The 21174-nt window shown below is 47.8% G+C and overlaps 1 protein-coding gene and 1 long non-coding RNA gene across 9 annotated transcripts in view; one reads left to right on the top strand and one right to left on the bottom strand.

Moving 5' to 3' along the window:
* Nucleotides 1-682: 682 nt before the first annotated feature.
* On the bottom strand, nucleotides 683-12623 carry ATP10A-DT (ATP10A divergent transcript). Its single transcript, NR_183988.1, has 2 exons — nucleotides 11985-12623; nucleotides 683-1185 (listed from the first exon to the last, which is right to left on the bottom strand). It is a non-coding gene; the product is annotated as an ATP10A divergent transcript (long non-coding RNA).
* Nucleotides 12805-21174, top strand: part of ATP10A (ATPase phospholipid transporting 10A (putative)) — a 192852-nt gene continuing 184482 nt past the window's right edge. For 3 of the 8 annotated variants that reach the window (XR_001751368.2, XM_011521828.3, NM_024490.4), the window contains exon 1: nucleotides 14566-15245. Coding sequence is in view for 4 of the 8 variants with exons in the window: in XM_011521828.3 (XP_011520130.1) it covers nucleotides 14797-15245 (449 nt within the window). In the remaining 4 variants the exon portion in view is untranslated. Of the gene's footprint in view, nucleotides 12879-13919; nucleotides 14263-14565; nucleotides 15246-15583; nucleotides 16112-21174 lie in introns of those variants that run through there. The other 5 variants (XM_005268261.5, XM_011521826.3, XM_047432891.1 and 2 more) reach the window with 5 other exon arrangements.

The following is a 21174-nucleotide window of genomic DNA, read 5'->3' as shown; positions in this document are numbered from 1 at the left end:
ACACCTAAATTCCAGACATACTGAAACTCTTGCGAAAATACTTGGTGATCTTATTCTTTGCTTCCACCACTCTCTCTGCTGCGCCTCCTTCTTGTTTCTGTGTGACAAGCTCCTACTCTCCTTTCACGACCCAGTCAAGGATGGCCTCTTGACTACCTCTCTCCAGGTAGATTTTTTTTTTTTTTTCTTTTTTGAGATGGAGTCTCGCTCTGTCGCCCAGGCCGGAGTGCAGTGGCGCCATCTTGGCTCACTGCAAGCTCCGCCTCCCAGGTTCACACCATTATCCTGTCTCAGCCTCCCTCGTAGCTGGGACTACAGGCGCCCGCCACCATGCCCGGCTAATTTTTTGTATTTTTAGTAGAGATGAGGTTTCACCATGTTAGCCAGGATGGTCTCGATCTCCTGACCTAGTGATCCACCCGCCTCGGCCTCCCAAAGTGCTGGCATTACAGGCGTGAGCCACTGCACCCAGCCCTCTCTGGGTAGTATTAACAGTTCTTTGACTTCCAGAGCCCTGCAGAGGTTTCTGTCATGGCACTTGGTGCCATGGTATCACATAGGGGCACTTGGTGTTTACAAGCGGAAGGAGGTAGGATTTAGAGAAGTTGATCTTGGTGACTGGAGCTTTCTATTAGTCATTTGGGAGAGAACGGATATAGGAGGCATAAAATGAGCAACAGCATGTTTTCAGGTTGCTTTATTTCCAAAATTTGCTCTTGGGAATCAAAAAGGAAGGGCTGAGGTGGTATATTACAGCAGAGATGGAAATGCAGTGGGAGGGAGAGTGAGACCACCGAAGACCACCCCGCGGCAGGGGGACTGGAGGAGGTGGCCTGGGCGGGGCCTCTGGCCTGTGAGCTGTTGGGGAAACCACAGCTGGCACTGAAAGCCTGCCTAGCTTCGCCCTACGTAGCTCCTGGGGGCGACACCTGACAGCCGTGGAGGCAGGCAGTGCCTGCAGACAGGCTGGAATTGGCTGGAGCCTCAAATGCTGCTCCACGTTCTGCCCTTTGCCTTGGCTTGCTACCCACAGTTGTCATCCTGAATTTTCCAACAGGGAATTCCTTTCCTGTGTTTAGATATGATGCTGAGCCTTCTCAGAACTGTCCTGGTAGACATTCTTTCCCGGGCAACGGCCCAGAACGCATCTCTGTCTTTCTAAAATGGAGATGGGCTCCTTGACACCTAGAGGAGCAACAGAGGGTGTGAAGGAAAAATTTCAGACTTAACACTTGAATGTGGCTGGGGAGGGTGATGTTTTGTCATAATACAAGTGTCTCCTCCGCTCAACATGTCTCCAGAGGGCAGAGACACAGCCCTGTTTAGCACGACTGAAGCAGCATATCCACCACTGTTTGTTGCTTGTCTGCAACAAGATAAGGAACTTCTCAGAACATAAAGCAAACACACTGCTTCCTTGCTTCCTTCCCTGAGAGTGTCTTTCCTAACAGGCAGTGCACGAGCCGTCTGCAGACCACACCTGAAGTAGCACTGACTCTGCATCCTTGCACTCCTGATTGTTACTACAGAGCATGGCACATAGTGGGTGCTTCGTGGTACTGTTTGTGAAATAGTTATTTTCATGAATGAGTTGAGCTTTAGAACAATCATTGGAGGACTCAGGCCTTTTTCGGGAGAGTGGACCTTCTCTCTCCTCAGCAGTAATCACTTTCCTCTCTTAATTCCTTCTTCAGTAAAATATAATAGCAAATTGCTCTCTCTTGCTATCGCCCTTTTTCTCTGTCTCCATCTGTCTTATACATCTAATAATATATTATTGGTCCAAATATGATTTGATTATTCTATAAGATAAAATTGAATGTCCCTTTTTTCTTCCTTGTCTTGCTATCCTCCTGTAGCTGGTCATAGCAACAGTGACTCAATGAATGACTTAATCAGTCTTGCTTCTTAGGGATTACTATGGATTCATCTATGTCCTTCTCAAATTTATATGTTGAAGTCCTAACCCCAAGTATCTTAGAATGTGACTTTATTTGGAAATAGGGCTGTTGCAGATGTAATTCATTAAGTTACAATGAGGTCATGCTGGAGCAGGTGGGCCCTAATCCAATGTGACTGGTGTCCTTACAAAAAGGGGGAACGTGGACACACACACGCACACACACACACACAGAGAGAGAATGTCATGTGACCATAGGAGAAGCTATTGCAGTGATGTCTCTGCAAGACAAGAAATGCCAAAGATGAGCAGCAAACCGCAGAAGCCAGGGGAGAGACCGAGAACAGAGTCTCCCTCCCGGTCCTCAGAACCGGCCAACTCTGCTGGCACCTGGATTTCAGACTTTCGGCCTCCAGACCTGTGAGACACCTCATTTCTGTTCATGCCATCTAGTTGGTGGTGCTTTGTACAGCAGCCCTAGTGAAAAATATAGGAGTGTATTCTACACACTTTGTTCATATCCCACAAATGGGGCCTAACACGTGACCACACCTATCCTTTTCAGTTGAACCCAGGAGGCTGAGGCTGCCGTGAGCTGAGATTATACCACCGCACCCTGGCCTGGGCAACAGAGCAGGATCCTGCCTCAAAAAAAAAAAAAAAAAAAAGAAATAAAAGCAAAAAGAATTTTAAAATGTTGTTTACCTTTAATATGATAATATGTTAGGCTTTCATGCTACAGAAATCGGAAGTTTTTATGTCGTTCATTTTGCTGTTTGTGGCTTCTGGGTTTTGTCCTTGTTTAGAAAATTCTTCCCCCTCTAACACAAATATAACACGTACTTCTCTGGTACTTCCCCTTGTTAAAATGTTTTAATAATAAACCCCCTAGGTTGTATTTTAGTTTATGATGTGAAATAAGGATTTGACTTTTCTGCCCAAATTGTCTATGTTTCCAATGCCATATACTACACAGTACTTTCCTCACTCCATTGATTTCAAACTCCACGTTTCATCACAGACTAAATTTCCACACACACAGAAATGTTGGTGAGTTCTTATTTTTGTCCCCAGTGTGCATTCCTGTGTGAAAGCCACCAGAAATAATATCTTTAATTGACAGAGTAGATCTCTCTCTCTCATGATTATATTTCAGTAGTGGAATTTACATTGTTTCTCTGTGTGTGTGTGTGTGTGTGTGTGTGTGTGTGTGTGCAGCCCACCTTTAAGATACATCATTTGGAATACAAACATTATATGTTAGACATATGCTAGTTATAAAGCATATGAATATACAAATATATTACAATGAGAAAATTAACATTAATAAAATTAATAAAATAATCTTGATTTTTTCAAGTAATATTTATACTATACTAAATGTTGATATATTTAAATAATTATAGTTAAATATATTTTATATCAAAATTTATTTAAAATATAAATATATAATTAAATAATAATTAATAATTAAAATTAATAAAATAATCAACTTTACTTAGATTTCACCATGTACTTTGTGTGTATTTATATTTGTTCTGTGCAATTTTTCCTGTGAACACCACTCTGATTCAACACAGAAAGAGTCCATCATAGGGATCTCTTCCACCACCCTTTTATAGCCACCGCCATCTCCCTCTCTCTCCCCTTTGTAAAAATTGGCACCACCAACTAATTTACCCTCCATCTCTGTTGTTTTGCTGTTTCAAGAATGCTACATTAGGCCAGGCACTGTGGCTCATGCTTGTAATCCCAGCACTTTGACAGGCCAAGGCAGGCAGATCACTTGAGCCCAGGAGTTTGAGAAAACCCTGGGCAACATGGCAAGACCCTGTCTCTACAAAAAATACAAAAATTAGCTGGGCATGGTGGTGTGTATCTGCAGTCCCAGACACTTGGGAGCCTGAGGTGGGAGGATCACTTGAGCCCAGGAAGTCCAGGCTGCAGTGAGCTGAGATCACTCCGCTGCACTCCAGCCTATACGACAGAGCGAAACCCTGTCTCAAAAAAAAAAAAACACAAAAAACAAAAAACAAAAAACAGAAAATAAAAAGAATGCTACATTAATGGAATTGTATGATATGTAGACTTTAGAGATTGGCTTTCTTCACTCAGCACAAGTCTCTCAAGATCCATCCAAGTTGTGTGCCTCAATAGACCATGTCTTTTTATTGCTGAGTAGTTAATACCACAGTGTGGATGCACTATAATTTGTTTATCCTTTCACCTTTTGGAGGCATTTAACTTGTTTCCGGTTTCTGACTATTATGAATAGAGCTGCTATAAACATTTACATACAAGTTTTGTGTGAATGAGTTTTAATTTCTCTAGGATGAATGCCTAAGAGTACAATTGCTGAGTTGTATGGTAAGCACATGTTTAGTTTCACAAGAAACTACTTTATCACATATATAAGTATGCTTAACAAGATTGTGCTTAATCTTGCTAGTAGTATTAGTGCTCTGCAAAAATAGTATTGTACTACACGTGGTCATCCGGGACTTACATCCAACATAGTGTTTCCAAGATTTCTCCATGTTGTTGTGTATAACACAACATAGTGAGACACAGTCTGTACTAAGCCCGGGAAGTCAAGACTGCAGTGAGCTGAGATCACACCACTGCACACCAGCCTGGGCGTCAGTGTGAGTCCTTGTGTCAAAAAAAAAAAAAAAAAAAGAACATGTTTGTGTGTATATATAAATATATCAAGCAAATGATATATCTGTTTTCTTTCCTCTCTCATTCCCTCATCATGTAACTATAAGATATATTGAGCCAGGTGCCTTGGCTCACGTCTGTAATCCTAACACTTTGGCAGATTGAGGCAGGAGAATAGCTTGAGGTCAGGAGTTTGAAACCAGCCTGGGCAACCTAGAGAGACCCCTATCTCTATTAAGAAAAAAAAATTTTGACTTTATATCAATATTTAAGTATTGCTAATTTTACATAATATCATTTAAATTATGGGATATTGGCTGGGCTCAATGGCTCATGCCTGTAATCCCAGCACTATAGGAGCCTGAGACAGGAAGATCTCTTGAGCCCAGGAGTTCAAGACCAGCACGGGCAACACAGTGAGTCTCTGTTTCTAGAAACATACGTACAAACATACATACATAAATGGATATAGGAGAAGAGTAAACATTACTCAAGGACTTTACCTCCTCTTCTGGAGAAGGGATGGTTTAAGGAAATGCATATGGGTGCTAAATTGACAAGGGGTAGATTTGTGAAGATTAATTTTAAATGTTAATTTGACTAGATTAAGGGATATCCACATAGCCGGAAAAGCATTATTTCTATTTTATTTTTATATGTTATGTTATGTTTTATGATTTTTGAGATAAGGTCTCACTCTGTCACTCAGGCTCGAGTGCAGTGGCGCAATCGTGGCTCACTGTGACCTCAAACTCCTGAGCTCAAGTGATCCTCCCGCCTCAGCCTCCTGATTAGTGTGGACCACAGGCGCATGCCACCACACCTGGTTAATTTTTTTACTTTTTGTGAAGATGGGTCTCGCTAAAATGTCCAGGCTGGTCTCAAACTCCTGGGCTCAAGTGATCCTCCTGCCTTGACCTCCCAAAGTGCTGGGATTACAGGCATGAACCATGACGCTCATGCAATTTCTGGGTCTGTTTAGTGAGAGTGTTTCCAGAAGAGACTAGCATTTGAATCAACGGACTGAGGAAGGAAGATCTGCCCTCATCTGATGTGGGTAGGCACCATCCAATCAACCGAGGGCCTGGATAGAACAAGAAGGCAGAGGAAAGGTGAACCACCTTCTTTTCTGGAGTGGACCATCCATCGTCTCCTGCCTTGGACATCAGCACTCCAGATTCTCTAGCCTTCACACACCAAGATTTACAGCTGTGGCCCACCGGGTTCTCAGGCCTTTGACCTTGGACTGAGAGTTAAACCTTTGGCTTCCCTGGCTCTCAGACCTCAGTATTTGGACTGAGCCACACCACCGGCTCCCTTCGTTCTCCAGCTTGCAGAGGGCACATCATGGGACTTCTCAGTCTCCATAATCCTTGTAGCCAATTCCCACAGTCAGTCCCCTCTCATCCATCCATCCATCTATCCGTCTATCTATCCATCTATCTATCATCTCTATCCATCATCATCTACCTATCTATCCCATCTATTTATCTATCATCTATCTGTCTACCTATCTATCCATCTATCTATCATCTATCTACCTATTATCTATCTAATCTATCCATCTATCATCTCTATCCATCCATCATCTATCATATCTATCTAATCTATCTATACATCTATCATCTCTATCCATCCATCTATCTACCATCTATCATATCTATCATTTCTCTATCTAATCTATCATCTATCATCTCTATCTATCCATCCATCTATCATCTATCATATCTATCTATCCATCCATCCATTTAAATATCTATCTATCTAATCTATCCCTCCATCTACCTGTCATCTCTGTCTATCCATCTATCATCTATCTATCTATCTATCTATCTATCTATCTATCTATCTATCTATCATCTATCTAGCTAGCTAGCTAATTATTTCTATCTTTCTATTAATATCTATCTTCTATTCTTGCTGTTTCTCTGGAGAATCCTGACTAATACAGCTATTTTATAGTTCATTTGTTGAGTTGAAAAAATAAATCCAGCTGGAATATTAGTTCGGAAAATGTATAAGATCAACTGGTTACTTTCAGAGTTCCAATCAGGGACATGGCATATTTTATATCTATTGAGATCTTCCTTTATCACATTCAGTAAAATTTTAAGTTGACTAGTCATGTGACAACATACTTCTCATCTATAATATTGGGATAAACATTCTCCTGTCTCAGTGAATGGCCAGGAGGGCGGAGAAAATGACTAGAAAATGAGAAGCACATGCCTGGCTGGTGTTACATGTGCTACACAGGCCAAATATTACTCCTGCTGTTGTTTGCTACAATTATTTGCAAACATCTTGAACTGGTTTTTGTTATTTTTCCTTAAATATTTTATTCTAAAAATGAGACCATTTTTGTTCATTTACTGCATTTTCTAATTGGCTATTGCTTGCATAGGAGTAACTTACTGATTTGTACATCTTTATTGTATAGTTAGCCTCATTACTAACTACTTCCCTGATAAAAACCACAGTTTATTACCTGGGCATAGTGGCATGCCTGTAGTCCCAGCTACTTGGAGGGCTGAGATGGGAGAACCACTTGAGCCCACGAGGTCGAGGCTGCAGTGAGCTGTAATTGCTCCACTGCACTCCAGCCTGGGTGACAAAGCTAGATCTTGTCTCAAAAAAAACCTCACAAAGTTGCAAATAGTGATAGATTTTGCCTTTACACCTATAAATATTACTATAGAATAAAAAAGAAAACTACAAATAAACTATTTTCCCTTGCAATTCTGCTATCCAGTTTTAATAGCAGGTTTTGCTAACCTTGCAGAATAAATTGAGAGGGTTTCAATATCTTTTTGTACTGCATTATAAATAAAATTGAGGAATAAACTATTTTGTAAACTTTGTCAAATATTCTCCATTGCGTGGTTTTGGAAGATGAGATTCTGAGGACCCGTTCAAGATCTTCCGGAGATTGTTAATCTATTCGAAATACGTGCTTATTCCTTATTAATTTATATTTTGTTTATTATATAAATACGTTAGCATGATATCAAGGTAAATACTTTTTCTTTCAGCACACAAGCACAAGTGTTGTCTCTCTGAGTCTTTGCTTGTCTGCAAATGCATTTAATTGTCAGGATCGTTGAATATCAATTTGACTAACAGAGAAGCTTATATTCAAAACCTACTTCTCAAAAAATTCTGTTGATGTTTTTCCATCACAGAATGAAGGTGAACATTCATCTACCGGATATTTAGTAAGAAGCCACCCTGCGCGGTGCTCTTCTAGGCACAGGGGCTACCTTGCAGCAGTGAAAGAGGCAGACACTGACTCCTGCCTTGTGGAGCTGAACGTCTTGCCACGAAGGAGAAGAGGCAGTCAGCTAACACGTGGGATGCCTATCGGTGCAAATTCAAATAGAGCTGGAAGGGGATGTGGAGCCCTGGGTGGGTTGTGTAGGAAGTGCCTGGAGAGTTGCAACCCAGCTGGGCTGAGCTCTCTGGTGTCTTCCTTCTGCCCGGTCTTGGTTTCATTATCTTAGTTGCCCTGTTAGTTCCCTGTGGCTTTAAAATACATTTTTTGTAAGCATTTTGTCCATCTTTCCTAGATGTCTCCTGAAGGGCTGTCCCAATTTTCTTGGTCTGCTACTGGCGCAGGCAAAAGTGAGAGGGATTTTTCTGGATCCACCCTCTCCCCAATATGACCATCTAGATTGTTAATGTTGCCACTTTGTGGGTTTTTTTTTAATGTGTTACCTGCTGTGCTTTCTACTTCCAAGAATTTTTGGCTGTTCCTCATTTACTTCCTTTCCATGGCAATTTTATAGATGGGCTGGTCTTCTGGATATCTAAGGACAATAACGGTGATTTCTAATGTTATTGTCTGTGTTCTGCATTGGCTCTTTTTCCTCAGAGAGGGGAAACTCACTTGGGTGAAGTTTGCTTTTTTTTTTTCATATTACCAGTTGTTCTAAAACAATCCAGTGACTCTTGACTGTAATATAGATTCATGCTTATCATTGCAGATATCGACCAGAGGTTCTTAAACCTGGCTGCAATTGGAATCACCCAAGAAGCTTTTAAAAAATCTGGGTGCTGGGGCCTGGTCCCCATGTGTACTGAGTCTGGAGCAAGGCTTGGGCATTGCTTGGGCATTAGTAGCTCATCAGGTAACCTTAAGGAGCAGCCGGTCTTAAGAGCAGCTACTTGAAATAACCAGCGTGGGACTTGCAGTGGCATCCTGGATGTAGCAACATGGCGGCCTCGTTATTTTCCCACCTGCGCCTCATCCTAGAATGGCCTGCTTTCTCTGATTTTGAGCCTTCTCAAGGGATCTACTGGAAAAACTCACTTTTTTAAAAAAAGTGTCCTTGCTTACTTAACTCTGTAATATGTTTTCTTTTTTCTTTTCTTTTTTTTTTGAGACTGAGTCTCGCACTGTCTCCCAGGCTGGAGTGCAGTGGCGGGATCTCAGCTCACTGCAACCTCCGCCTCCCAGGCTCAAGAGATTCTCCTGCCTCAGCCTCCCGAGTAGCTGGGATTACAGACGCGCGCCACCACGCCCTGCTAAGTTTTTGTATTTTTAGTAGAGACGGGGTTTCAACATGTTGGCCACGCTGGTCTGGAACTCCTGACCTTGTGATTCGCCCGCCTCGGCCTCCCAAAGTGCTGGGATTACAGGCATGAGCCACCGCGCGTGGACAATATGTTTTCTCATATGTGTTAGACTTTCCCGCTAATGTGTTCATCAGTTTTATGTATTCCTGACATCCCTCAATATCTTCTGAGATATCTTTTCGTCTTCTGAAGGTACTTTTTCCCAGCTCCCCAGCACAACTGTACATTTATCTTTTTGAAAAATATCATGTGTTTTGTAAAGGAAATTTAGTTTGGAAAAACGGAGAACAAATTATCTCAGGCAGGCATATCAAACTATGAATTCCTTAGAAATTATGGTATGTGGGATAAGGAAAAGCTTAAAAATAAAAAATATAAATTTTTGCTTCTCTCTCTAGAATATATTTTTTTTTTTTTGACGGAGTTCACTCTTGTTGCCCAGGCTGGAGTGCAATGGTACAACCTCGGCTCACTGCAACCTCCACCTCCCTGGTTCAAGCGATTCTCTTGCCTTAGCCTCCTGAGTAGCTGGGATTACAGGCATGTGCCACCACACCCGGCTAATTTTGTATTTTTAGTGGAGATTGGGTTTCTCTGTGTTGGTCAGGTGGGTCTCGAACTCCCGACCTCAGGTAATCCGCCTGTCTCGACCTCCCAAAGTGCTGGGATTACAGGCATGAGTCACTGTGCCCGGCCAGAATTTTGTATTTTTAGGATTATGTACATAATCATAGATTTAGCTTACTCAATCATTAGTCAATTACTTTTGTCCAAAATTTCACAGCTCTGTATTTTGGAAGTTTTTGGATGATGCTGAGGCCATATTAATTAATAGGTAGCATCTGTGCCTGGTTTTTCATATTACAAATTTCAGAATCTGGCTGGACCCAGGTGGGAGGATTGCTTGAGCCCAGGAGTTTGAGGCCACCCTGGGCAACATAGGGGGACCCTGTCTCTTTCTAAAAATTAAAAATAAAAATAGTTTATTTATTTTTGAGATGAAGTCTTGCTCTGTCACCCAGGAGTGCAGTGGCACAATCTCGGCTCACTGCAACCTCCACCTCCCAGGTTCAAGCAATTCTCCTTCCTTGACCTCCCAAGTGGCTGGAATTACAGGTGTGCATCACCATGCCCAGCTAATTTTTGCATTTTTAGTAGAGACGAGATTTCACCATGTTGTCTAGGCTGGTCTTGAACTCCTAACCTCAAGTGATCCTGCCCACCTCGTATCCTAAAGTGCTGGGATTACAGGAATGAACCACCACGCCCAGCCAAAAATTAAAAATATTTAAAATAAAAATTTTAAAAATGTCAGAATCTGTTATGCCTATTTGTAAGGGCAGTCACTAGAGTAAATATTAAACAATGCTGTCAGGTTAAAATGTTTTAGACTGTGATTCTTACTTATTCCATAATTATTTATTTCACCAGCCATTAGAGGTACTGATTCTTGGTATCTGAAAACTGGAAACAATCTTGATGATTGTCTCATTCAATTCTCTATACTTCTTAGTTGGAAAGTAACACCCAGAGTCTCTTTTTATGCCCTGTGTGCATCTCGCGCATCTAGGTGCGATCTCATCACATAGCTCTAACCCCCAGGTGTCTCCCAGCATCCCCCACAGCTGTGTCACCAGTGTGGACCTTTGCTGTCATGTCCGGTCTTCGATACGCCACTGCCCACTTGCCATCTCACACTTAACATGGCTTATGCTGAGCTTGCATTTTCTCCTTAAACCACTTCATTTATTTTTCTCACTGAAACATCCAACCTGTTGGCCAGTCACATTAGCTCTGCCTGGAAGACGTACTTCCAATTTGTCCATGTCTGTCTATCCAATGCCAGGTGTAAGCCACCTCTTAATTTACACCTCTCCTGCTCCAACTCTGCTCGGAATCAATTTTCTATCTATTAAAAGAGCATATAAGATCTTCTCATCTCACGCCTCTCTGCTTGGGGCAGCCCATGGCTCCCTATTGCAGTTGGAGCAAATCCAGAGACTTGTCCTTTCCAAAGGCTAGTGAAGCCCTAAATGCTGGCCACTCTGCTGCTCCTCATGGCTACCCTCTCCTGCATCCAGACCTGCTCTTGACCCCAGACTGACATCACCACTGCCAGCACGACTCCTGCTCCTGAGGGCTGGTGGGCACCTCCAGTTCTGCCTCATCTTCTGTCTTCCCAACTCACTAGATGAAACTTGGGTTTTTAGCTGTTGGGCCACCCTCACCTCCTCTCTTGCACATCCCACAACCATTCCAACAGCATGTCCCGCATGCTCTGAGGAGGCTATGTCCCACATCCACCATGGCCACCCAGCCTGAGCCACAGCACCTTTGCAGGATCACTGCAGTGGCCGCTCGCCACGACGTCTCCCTTCTTCTGCCCTGGCCCTCTACATTCTATTTACATTGCAGCAGGAGTGATCTCTGGAAACCTCGGTAAAGCCACTTGATGCCACTTCTCAAAATCCTCCCAAGCTTTCCCTCTCGCTCAAAAGCCAAAATCCTCACCGGGATCCACAAGGCCCCACATGACCTCACTCTCGGCCACGTCTCCAATCTCCCACTCAGCTCCAGCTACCCCGGCTTCCTTGCTGGGCCTGAAATCCCTGAACGCTCCCTATCCCGCCCCGTGCTTACCATTTCTTCCCTAGGTGCCTGCACAGCTTGTGTCCCTAGGCCTCCGCTCAGTGTTGCTTGAGAAGCCTCCTTGGACCGCCCAATTGACAGGAGCAAGAGCAGGATCCCACCCCTCCCAGCCCTGGTTTCAGGTGTCCCTTCATTTTCTGAGCCATCTTTGTTGGGATTCCCACGTGAGGACTTAGTGTTCCGGGGAGCAGAAACTTACTGTGTTTCCCAGGTGTCCCCATTGCCTAAAGCAGAAGCTGTGGGGTTGAAGGTTTTAGAATGAGTGTGAGGCAGAAGCCCCACCTGTTTCTTAAACACATTGAGATTTCTCCTTCTTTGGGACCTTTTGACAGAGCTGCCCCCTCTGTCTGGAAGCCTCTTCCACCTGATCTTGTCCCATTCAGGTTTCAACTCCAGTGCCTCTCTTCGAAAAGGCCATCCCTCATCCCTTCCAAAGCCCTCCGTGGGCTCTCATGGTTTTTCGTTCAGTTGCTGCAGCTCCATGACAACATCTTGTCCTCTCTAGCTCTCCGATGAATTCCTGTGCCTGGAACATTGCCGGGCATACAGCAGGGGATGAGTAAGTATTTGCCGAACAAGGACACTTACAGTGGTTCTCATGGCCTATAGCAGGCCCTTGTTAGAGCCCTGTGGTGCAGATGGCCAACCCAGAGTTGACCAGACCACATCAGAGCCTCATCCTCGCCCCAGCAGGCCAGGGTCTCAGAGTCCAGCTGGCAGAAGACACCTGAGCTCAAAACCCCTCCACGATTCCCCAGATCACACAGCTTGGAGACCTTTCCAGAGGTGAGCTGAGCTAGGCCTTCCTGGAAATCCTGACTTTGCACTGGGGAAGAGCAGGTGGAAAAAGATTCCAGACTTGAGGAGCATTGTGACTCACAGAATCTTGGAACCTTAGAGCGGAATGTGGATGGGATGAGTAAGGACTGTTCTGAGAAGGATAAGGAGACCTCTCACCTTGGGGCTGGGCCTGAACCAGGGAGGGGCTGAAGAAAATCAGCAAGCTGGTTCCCCTCAGGGCCTCAAGGGACCTCTGCCTGAGGAATCAGCATTTGGCTTTGTAAGCACCAGGAGTACTCCTGGAAGCTCCAGGGTAAGCAAATGGAATGAGGCGGTAATTACTTTGGCAACAGTGTGGACTGGCTGAAGCTGGGAGTCTGGTAGGCGCGGACACCCCTGGAGACTTTGGGCGAAGGGTCCACGGGGATGCCTGTGAAGACAGGAGGCCGAAGTGTAGGGAGGCCGAAGGCCTCGGGGGTCACCAGGTGGGCTGGTAGAGGAAAACACGGAGCCATGGGATGTGAGGCCTCAAGACTGCAGGCGCTGTGGGCCTTCATTTGCAGTTGATGCTCCGTTTGGGTTTCTGCTGGTTGACTGTGAGACCTGACTCCTTTCCCCAACAATGCAGACTTCAGCCAAACCTTTCCCTGATCTGGGCCTCTACATGTCAAAAGCCCACCCCTGTGACTGGGGGATGGGATTATTTTCTTCACACCTGTCACCACTCTACCTTCTAACACTGGGTTCTGGGCAACATTGTGGATGGTGGCAAAACTGGGCAGAGATGTAAGAATGTCATAACTGGAGCCGGGTAAGCCAGGGTGCTGGAGGGGAGGGCCTCCCCAAGCCAGGGTCCTGGCGAAGACGTGATTTGAGTCCATCCAGGGCAGTGCCTTGTTAGCAGGCACCCCCAGGAAGAGCCTGGGGCCACGGCCAACCGCCCAGCCACGGCCTCCTGGGCAAGAAATAACTGCTTCTCATCTCTGTACTTCTTGAGTGGGAGGCAAACAGTCACAGCCATGAAACATCTGTGGGGTCTCACTGCGGACGTGGGGGACTCCCAGCTCCTTTTTCCATGCCGTGCTTATTCTCCCACCCCTTCTCGGATGCCCCATGATGTGGAGGGGAGCCCTTCGCCCCACACTTCTGGGACACCCTCCTGACGCTCCCCTCTCCTCCCCACAACCATCCTCGCCTCCCCACAACCATCCTCGCCTCCCCCGCCGTCCGGGCCATGACAGCCACCTCAGAGCTACAGCGCACAAGGAGCGTTTCGGTCCTCATGATTTCCCAGGGAGGGAAACAGACACTCAAATACCTGCAAACCAAATTCTGTCTTTGCTATAGCGATATATTTCTCCTTTCCATGAAGAAAGAACAGAAAAAAGAAAAAGAATTTATTTAGGAGAGGAAGGAAAGGCAGTAATGATGATGGTGGAAAGGAAACGGTCTAGTTCGCCCAACAACGGAATCTGAAAGTGGTGGGGGCTGGGAAGTGGGGTAGGAAAGAAGTTCTTAGAGGCAACGCGGAATCGCCCTTCCCAGGGCTCCCCAGGAGCAGAGGTCCTGCGTAAAAAAGACTTAAAAATTGGAGCACTGGATGCCATGGATCCTTTGGATTTTGATTCCAGTTGATCCCTGGAGTAAGGTCCTAACCGGGGTCTCCCGAGGTCGTTTCGCCGTCCAGGATGGAGCAGGTCTGGCCCCTGGAAGGGCGCGCGGGCTGCTTGGGGACGGGGGCGCCTTTTCTCGCGCTTCGCGGTTTCCTCTCTCCTACTGCAGGCAGCGCGCGTTTGCAGCGTTTTGGGACCGAACTGATGCTTCTGGGAAACGAAACTAAACCTCTCTGAAGTTTCCAGCTCGGGCTTTTTTTGTTTCCCGCTATCCGGCGTGGCCCAGTCCGGGCGCGGAACGAGGGCGGGGCCGTGGCCACCGCGGCGGAAACGACCCGGGCCGGGGGCGGGCGGCGAGGACAAGGGGGCTCTGTGCGGCACCCGCCCAGCTTGCGCCCTGGGGACTGCGGCCGGGCGGCGGGGCTGGACGGGAGTGGACGGGGCTGGGCGCGGGCTGGGCGCGCTGGGCCGGCCAGGCGGCGCGCTGACCGCGGTCTCCGTGCGTCCCGCAGGCGGGGAGCTCGCACCGCCGCGCCCGGGCCGCGAGTGATGATAACCTAAGAGGCCGGCGCGGGCGGGCGTGAGCGGCGGAGGAGCCGGGCGCGGCGACACGCGGCCATGGAGCGGGAGCCGGCGGGGACCGAGGAGCCCGGGCCTCCGGGACGGCGGAGGCGCCGAGAGGGCAGGACGCGCACGGTGCGCTCCAACCTGCTGCCGCCCCCGGGCGCCGAGGACCCTGCGGCTGGCGCGGCCAAGGGCGAGCGGCGACGGCGGCGCGGGTGTGCCCAGCACCTGGCCGACAACCGGCTCAAGACTACCAAGTACACGCTGCTGTCCTTCCTGCCCAAGAACCTGTTCGAGCAGTTCCACCGCCCGGCCAACGTGTACTTTGTCTTCATCGCGCTGCTCAACTTCGTGCCGGCGGTGAACGCCTTCCAGCCCGGCCTGGCACTGGCGCCGGTGCTCTTCATCCTGGCCATCACGGCCTTCAGGGACCTGTGGGAGGACTACAGCCGCCACCGCTCCGACCACAAGATCAACCACCTGGGCTGCCTGGTCTTCAGCAGGTGAGTTGGGCGGGCGGGCGAGCGAGCGCGCGGTGGCGCAGGGCAGGGCGCCCCGGGAACTTGGTGTTGGGCACAGTGATTGGCAGGGGCTGGGTGCTTAGAAGGCAGCTCCACTCAGGGTGGAGGGCCCGGCTGCGCGGGACCCGGTGCCGACCGAAGCCACAGCGCCGCCAAGGCCTCTCTGTGCCTCCGCCGCAGCTAAAGGGGCGCCCTGGATGCGGGGACGCGTGGGGATCCCCTGTCACTCCGTGTCGGGGCCAGAATGATCCCAAGGCTAGAAACCGACGGCCGCTGGACATCCTCATCCACAGCCGCTCCCACCTGAAGTGAAAGGCAGGAAAAGCCAGCCTGGCCCCCTGGCCTGAAGTCCCTGCCTCAGTCTTCGGCCAGGCACAGTGGTCTCTGAACAGCCGGCACAGGACAGTAAAGCTCAGTCTGCTAACAGCTCGGCTCAGGACAGCAGCAAAGTGAAACTGCCGCCAAGTGCTGATATGTCTGGCACGGCCCAGGTACCAGGGCAGGGGAAATAACAGCAGTGTCCATCCTCCACTGTGAGCCATGAGCCGCGAGCCAGGCACCGCCCGGTAGCTGCCTGCCTAATTTTCTTCATCTTAACCTGCTTCCTGGGGGAAAGAGGCTGTGGGGTGTTTGTGAGCCCTGCCACGGGCAGTACCAGGGGTGACCCTGCGATGGACCACTCCTGCTCTTTTTCCCTCCCTGAGTTTTAGAGTCTCCGGCGGACCTGTCCAGAGGCCTGCGGCCTTTTCATCCTTTATGCTCTCCACCCCAGGAGAGCCCCTTGGTAGATCCATCTTGGAGCTGTGTCCAGCAGCCTGGACCACCTCAAGGCCCTGTCCCTGAGAAAGGTGGGTCGTCTTAGCTTTCCTCCAAAGCTCAGCCCATCGTTACCTCCTGCCTCACCTTGCTTGACCCCGGAACAGGGACTGAGATGGGCTTCTGAATAGAACATTAGCGGTATCTGGCTTCCATTATGCATGGGGAGACTCTAGGAAGCCCTATGCTCTCTTAGTGGCAGATTGTTCCCCTAAAAGAGGAGGGTCAGAGTGGCTCCTGCCTCTTAAACGTAGGCATTCACGAATGCCTTAGACACAGGCACTCATAGCTTGGATGAAGCCATGGATGCGTGCCTCTGTAGTTGAGTACCTTTCACCCTCCCAGCAACACTGCAGTGGTTATGCTCCATATTTTTGTAAACAGAGTAAACGGGTTCAGAGAGGTTAAGTAAACCTGCCCAGTGTCACACAGCAGCAAGGTCGTGGTACTGGGATTTGACCCAGGTCTTCCCGCCCGCACAGCTTTTTGAATATTTCTTTGCTCGTGCTTCTGAAACTTTTGTAAGAGTCACTGAAGGCGCTTGTTAAAATTACAGTTTTCCAAAGTGTCTCACTCAGCAGGCCTGGGATTGAGCCCAGGAATGTATTAGATTAGCGTGCACGTAACTCTTATATGATGGCCCACACTTTCAGAAACACCACTCTGCCTGCTCCCAAGCCTTGCTCTTTGGCCAGTCAGCAAGAGTGACTGTCATTAGACCGGGCTGTGGGATTTCCTGGCCCCTGTTCACCAGAAGCCTGAGCAGGGACAAGAGCGGCACCCCTTACACAAATGGCCTCCGTGTCCCCTGAGCGAGGCCTCCACCACATAGCCCTGGTGGGGCTCAACAGTTTTAAGCCTTTGCACAGATACCACTTCCTGTTATTACTGAGCCCGTAACTCCTGTAGCCTCCTTTTTAGAAATACTTATGCCTCAGGAGAAATACAGTTTATTTTCAGTTGGCAAAGTGCTTTGAATCCATTATGTCATTCGATCCTTATAGTAACTATCACACCCATCTTGCCGATGAGGAAACTGAGGTTGGGATCTAAAAGCTATTCTCTTGTCTCTGTGACCTTGTAAGGCTTCATGGGACTTTGAAACTTTAGCTTCCATTTGGACTACACCCATCTACGTTCCCCTCCCCTTCCACTCTGCCCTTGACTCCAGATATCTTAACTCTCCCTCAGACTCTGTCTTCTTCCTTACTGAAGGAACTGTCAGCATTTTTCATTCACTTCCCAGCTGCCTTGAGGACAGTGGGCGCAATGCCCTACTTCTGTTTATTGTTCCCTGGGAAGGCAGGTCAAATTCTTCCAGTCCCAGAAAGGCTGGAAGAGGTGGTGCCAGGCCCTGGGAATAGAAGGAGGAGGAGGCTGGTTTCACCCAGAGTTTACTGTAGGGACAGATGGCACCATAGGGCATGTCTACCAGGTGAAGTCCTGGGTGGGGCTCCCAGCCCCGGGATGCAGGCTCCATGTCTGGCGAGGCGTCCCAGTGCAGGACAAGAGTCTGGGACGGTGGTGTGAGGATCAGGAAAATGGTGCCAAGCAAGGTGGGGCAGAGAGTGGGTGCTGCAGTGAGAGATCGGGGGCGGGGGGTGGACAGGGTCATGGCACAGAGGTTGAGAACAGGTTCTAGGGTACACTGGGGTGAAGCATCGACATGAAGCCCTGGCTCTCAGGACCTGGCACCCAGACAGCACAGAGCAGCCAAGGAAATGACTTCTGTGTCAGGCCAAGGTCTGTGCAGTGCGTTTGGTTGACTGCAGAGAAGACCAGACGCACGACTGTGAACTGTCTAGGTCTGTTTTGTGTGGCGCTTCCTCCAAGTGTTGCTGCTCTAGCTGCTGTGCATAGGAGTGTCGGTCCAAGCGTGCAACACATTGTTCACGCAGAGTATGAGCAGACTTTAGCTGGAAGTCTTACCTGCTGCCACTGTCCCAGAAGTGACTTCTGGGACATTCCCTTGTATGTGGATGTGCAGCCTGTAGTGCGTCATCGTTTATGTTATTATTTATGTGCTGTTTTTCAGTGACACCATCCTTGGGCCCCTTTCTGTGAGAATCCCCTTAGAGCCTGTTAGAAATGTAGCTTCCTAGGCCAGGGTGTTTGAGAAGCAGTCCTGTTTCCTCCTTCTGAACCCATTTTCTCCTAATGGATTTCACACGCTATTTAGGAAAACCCTCTTGAGCCACGCTCAGCAGGTTGGGGGAGCACTGGGTGATTCTGGGGGGGTTAGGTCCTGCCTGTGGCGCCTGCAGGGGGGAAGGGCCACCCACCCAGCGTCACTAAGCTGTGGTCCACTGTGATGGGAGGGTGTGGGAAGCCCCTCTGATCATATGGACCTCGGTGCTGGCTAAGGCTGTTCAGAGAAGCCATCTTCCCACAGCCCCGGGTGGGAAGAAAGGGGCTGCCTGCGCTTGAGACCCTGCCACTCAGTGAGCCCTGGTGAGAGTCGAGGGGGATGTGGCCTCCGGCTTTCATTTGAGGCTTGGACTTCCCTTTAGCTGACATCGGTCTCCAACACTGAGTGTCCAGCTGGAACAGGGTGGGCATCCCTCGGGGCCGAGAGCTGAGGGGGCAGCAGAGCAACCTCAGGGGTCCTGCTGGGCAGGGCTGGAGGAGGAGAGGGGAAGAGAAGGGCAAAGGGACTCAGCCCAGGCTGGGAGAGTGGCGGGCAGTTCTGCAGGCAGGAAGCAGAGATCTCCTATCAGAAGAAGACTTTGTGCCTTGCAGAAAGCTTTCTCATCCACCTCTTCCACAGCAGGGGTGAGGGGGGAAACCTTAAATCAGCAGACCTGGAGCCCTGCTCCCAGAAATGGAGTGTGCCTTGCAAGGGTGCTGCTGGAGGAGGACCTGGGCCAGTGATTTCATCTGTCCCCCAAAGCCTGCCTAGGCTATTGTTATCTTTTTTTTTTCTCCCTTTTGCTTCTATGTACTTTGTGATGACTTGAATATAATCTTATTGACACCTTTCAGTGTCTGTCTCCAGGATGATGTAACCAGCAGTATTTCTGCAGGAAATAACCGGAGGCGACTTTTCCCTGAATCTTCTGGGCTCTGTGCTTGGGTCTGAGGGCAGCATCTCAGTGTCTTTCCGTCATCTTTTGGGAAACAGGTAGTCAGGAGGTGCTCTCTGCTTATTTTGGAATTGCCCTACTTTTGGTCTCTTCCCCTCACTTTGATTTTCGCTCCATTTTCCCAGCCCACCAGGGTTATTTCTCCAACCCGTGTCCCCTGCCCTTCATGCTTTGTTGTTTTGGAAGAGCTGAGCAGATGAGAAGGTGAGCTTCTCACTCAACAAAGTCCTCCTTTTGTTTTCTTTTCTGCCAGGGCTTTTGTTTCTCTTGTCTCCCCTCTCCTACTCCTTCTCCGTGCCTCTTTCCCTTCCCTTCCAGGTGAGCCTCATCTCTTCCTCTGTGGCACCCTTGGCTCTTTCATGGCATATTCCCTCCATCCCTCCCTCTTAATGCAACAAGACAGCAGTCAACACATCTTTCCCCTGGGAAGCACAGCATCTCTGTCATTTGGGTAAAAGGTTTGCAAAAGCAGAGACACCAGGACAAGACCCAGGAGTTAAGAATGCGCAGGGACCACGCCAGTTCTTCTTAAGCAGGGTTGACATCCCTGTAGGTAGGTTAGGGCACTGGACGCTTGCGGAATATTATTTCCACATTGCCATTCACATGTTTGTTGGAAATAATTTTTCGGTACCTGTTACATATCATATATTACTGGGCTCATGAGGTCAAGTTGCAGTGGAAAAAGAACGTTTCTTTTCCTAAAACCTTGGTTGTCATCCAAAGGCAGGCTTGTTCATGAGGCAGTTCCTTTTTTACTTGTTAATATGAGCCAAATGTTCTATATGCACAATTCCATTTTATCCTCCCAACGATCATATCATTTCCACATCCCCATTCCACAGATGAGGAAACTGAGGCTTCAAGACTCAATAGCTTGCCTAAGGTCACACTGTTAGGAGATGGCAGTACCGTGATTTGAGCCCAGATCTACCCTGCTCTGACCCCGTGTTCACAGTTATTACCTTACTTGGTATTCCCACCCCAAGAACAACAGGCCTCTTTAAAATAATTATTCTAGAAAATTTCACATACATAGAAATGTGCACATGTGACAAACTGCCATGTACCATTGTCCAGTTTCAACAATTAGCAACTCATGGCTAACATTATTTTATCTGTATTCCCACCTACTCCCTTCTCCTCTGTCATTCTGATGCAAACTCCAGACATCATGACGTTTCACCTGTAAATGTGTCAGTATTTGTCTTTAGAAAAGCATGACTCTTCTTAAAACTAAACTATAAATACCATTATCATACCTAAAAAAAATTATTATTTTTTAAGACAGAGTCTTGCCCTGTTGCCTAGGCTGGAGTACAGTGGCATGATCACGGTTCACTGCAGCTTCCATCTCTTGGCCTCAAGTGATCCTCCTGCCTCAGCCTCCTGAGTAGCTGGGACCACGGGTGCACGCCACCACACCTGGCTAATTTTTCTTAAAAATTTCATAGAGATAAGGTCTCACTATGTTGCCCAGGCTGGTCTCCAACTCCTGGGCTCCAGCTGTCTTCCTTCCTTGACCTCCCAAAGTGCTGGGATGACAAGCCTGAGCCAGTGTGCCCAGCCTAATTTCCTAATACTGTTAAATACCCAGTGTGTGTTCAGATTTCCACTTATCTCATAAATGGGATGTGTACTTTTCAATATGTATGCTTGAATTAGCTATAAATGAGGCCTACTCAGCAGGTGGCTGATAAATCTTTTAAGTCACTTTTAGTCTATAGATTTTCCCCCAGAAAACTCTATTCTCTTTCTTTTTTTCCCTTGCAATTTATTTTGAAGAAATTGGGTTATTTGTCCTATGGGGTTTTCCAGGGCCTGAATACTGCTGATTACTTCTGTGTGGTTTCAGGTAACATGTTTTTTTTCTATTGTAATTCCTGTGGATTGGTAGGAGGGTCTGCACACTTCCTCAGTGTTTCATCAGGCTCAGGTTTGAATTTTTGTTGTTGTTGTTGTTGTTGTCGTTGTTTTGGTCTCCACATTCCTAGGTGGTGTTCTGCACTTCC

The sequence above is a fragment of the Homo sapiens genome, chromosome 15, assembly GCF_000001405.40.
Source record: "Homo sapiens chromosome 15, GRCh38.p14 Primary Assembly".
NCBI classification, from domain to species: Eukaryota; Metazoa; Chordata; class Mammalia; order Primates; family Hominidae; genus Homo; species Homo sapiens.
The sequence above is the reverse complement of the archived record's forward strand: the minus strand, read 5'-3'. Positions and strand labels throughout refer to the sequence as shown.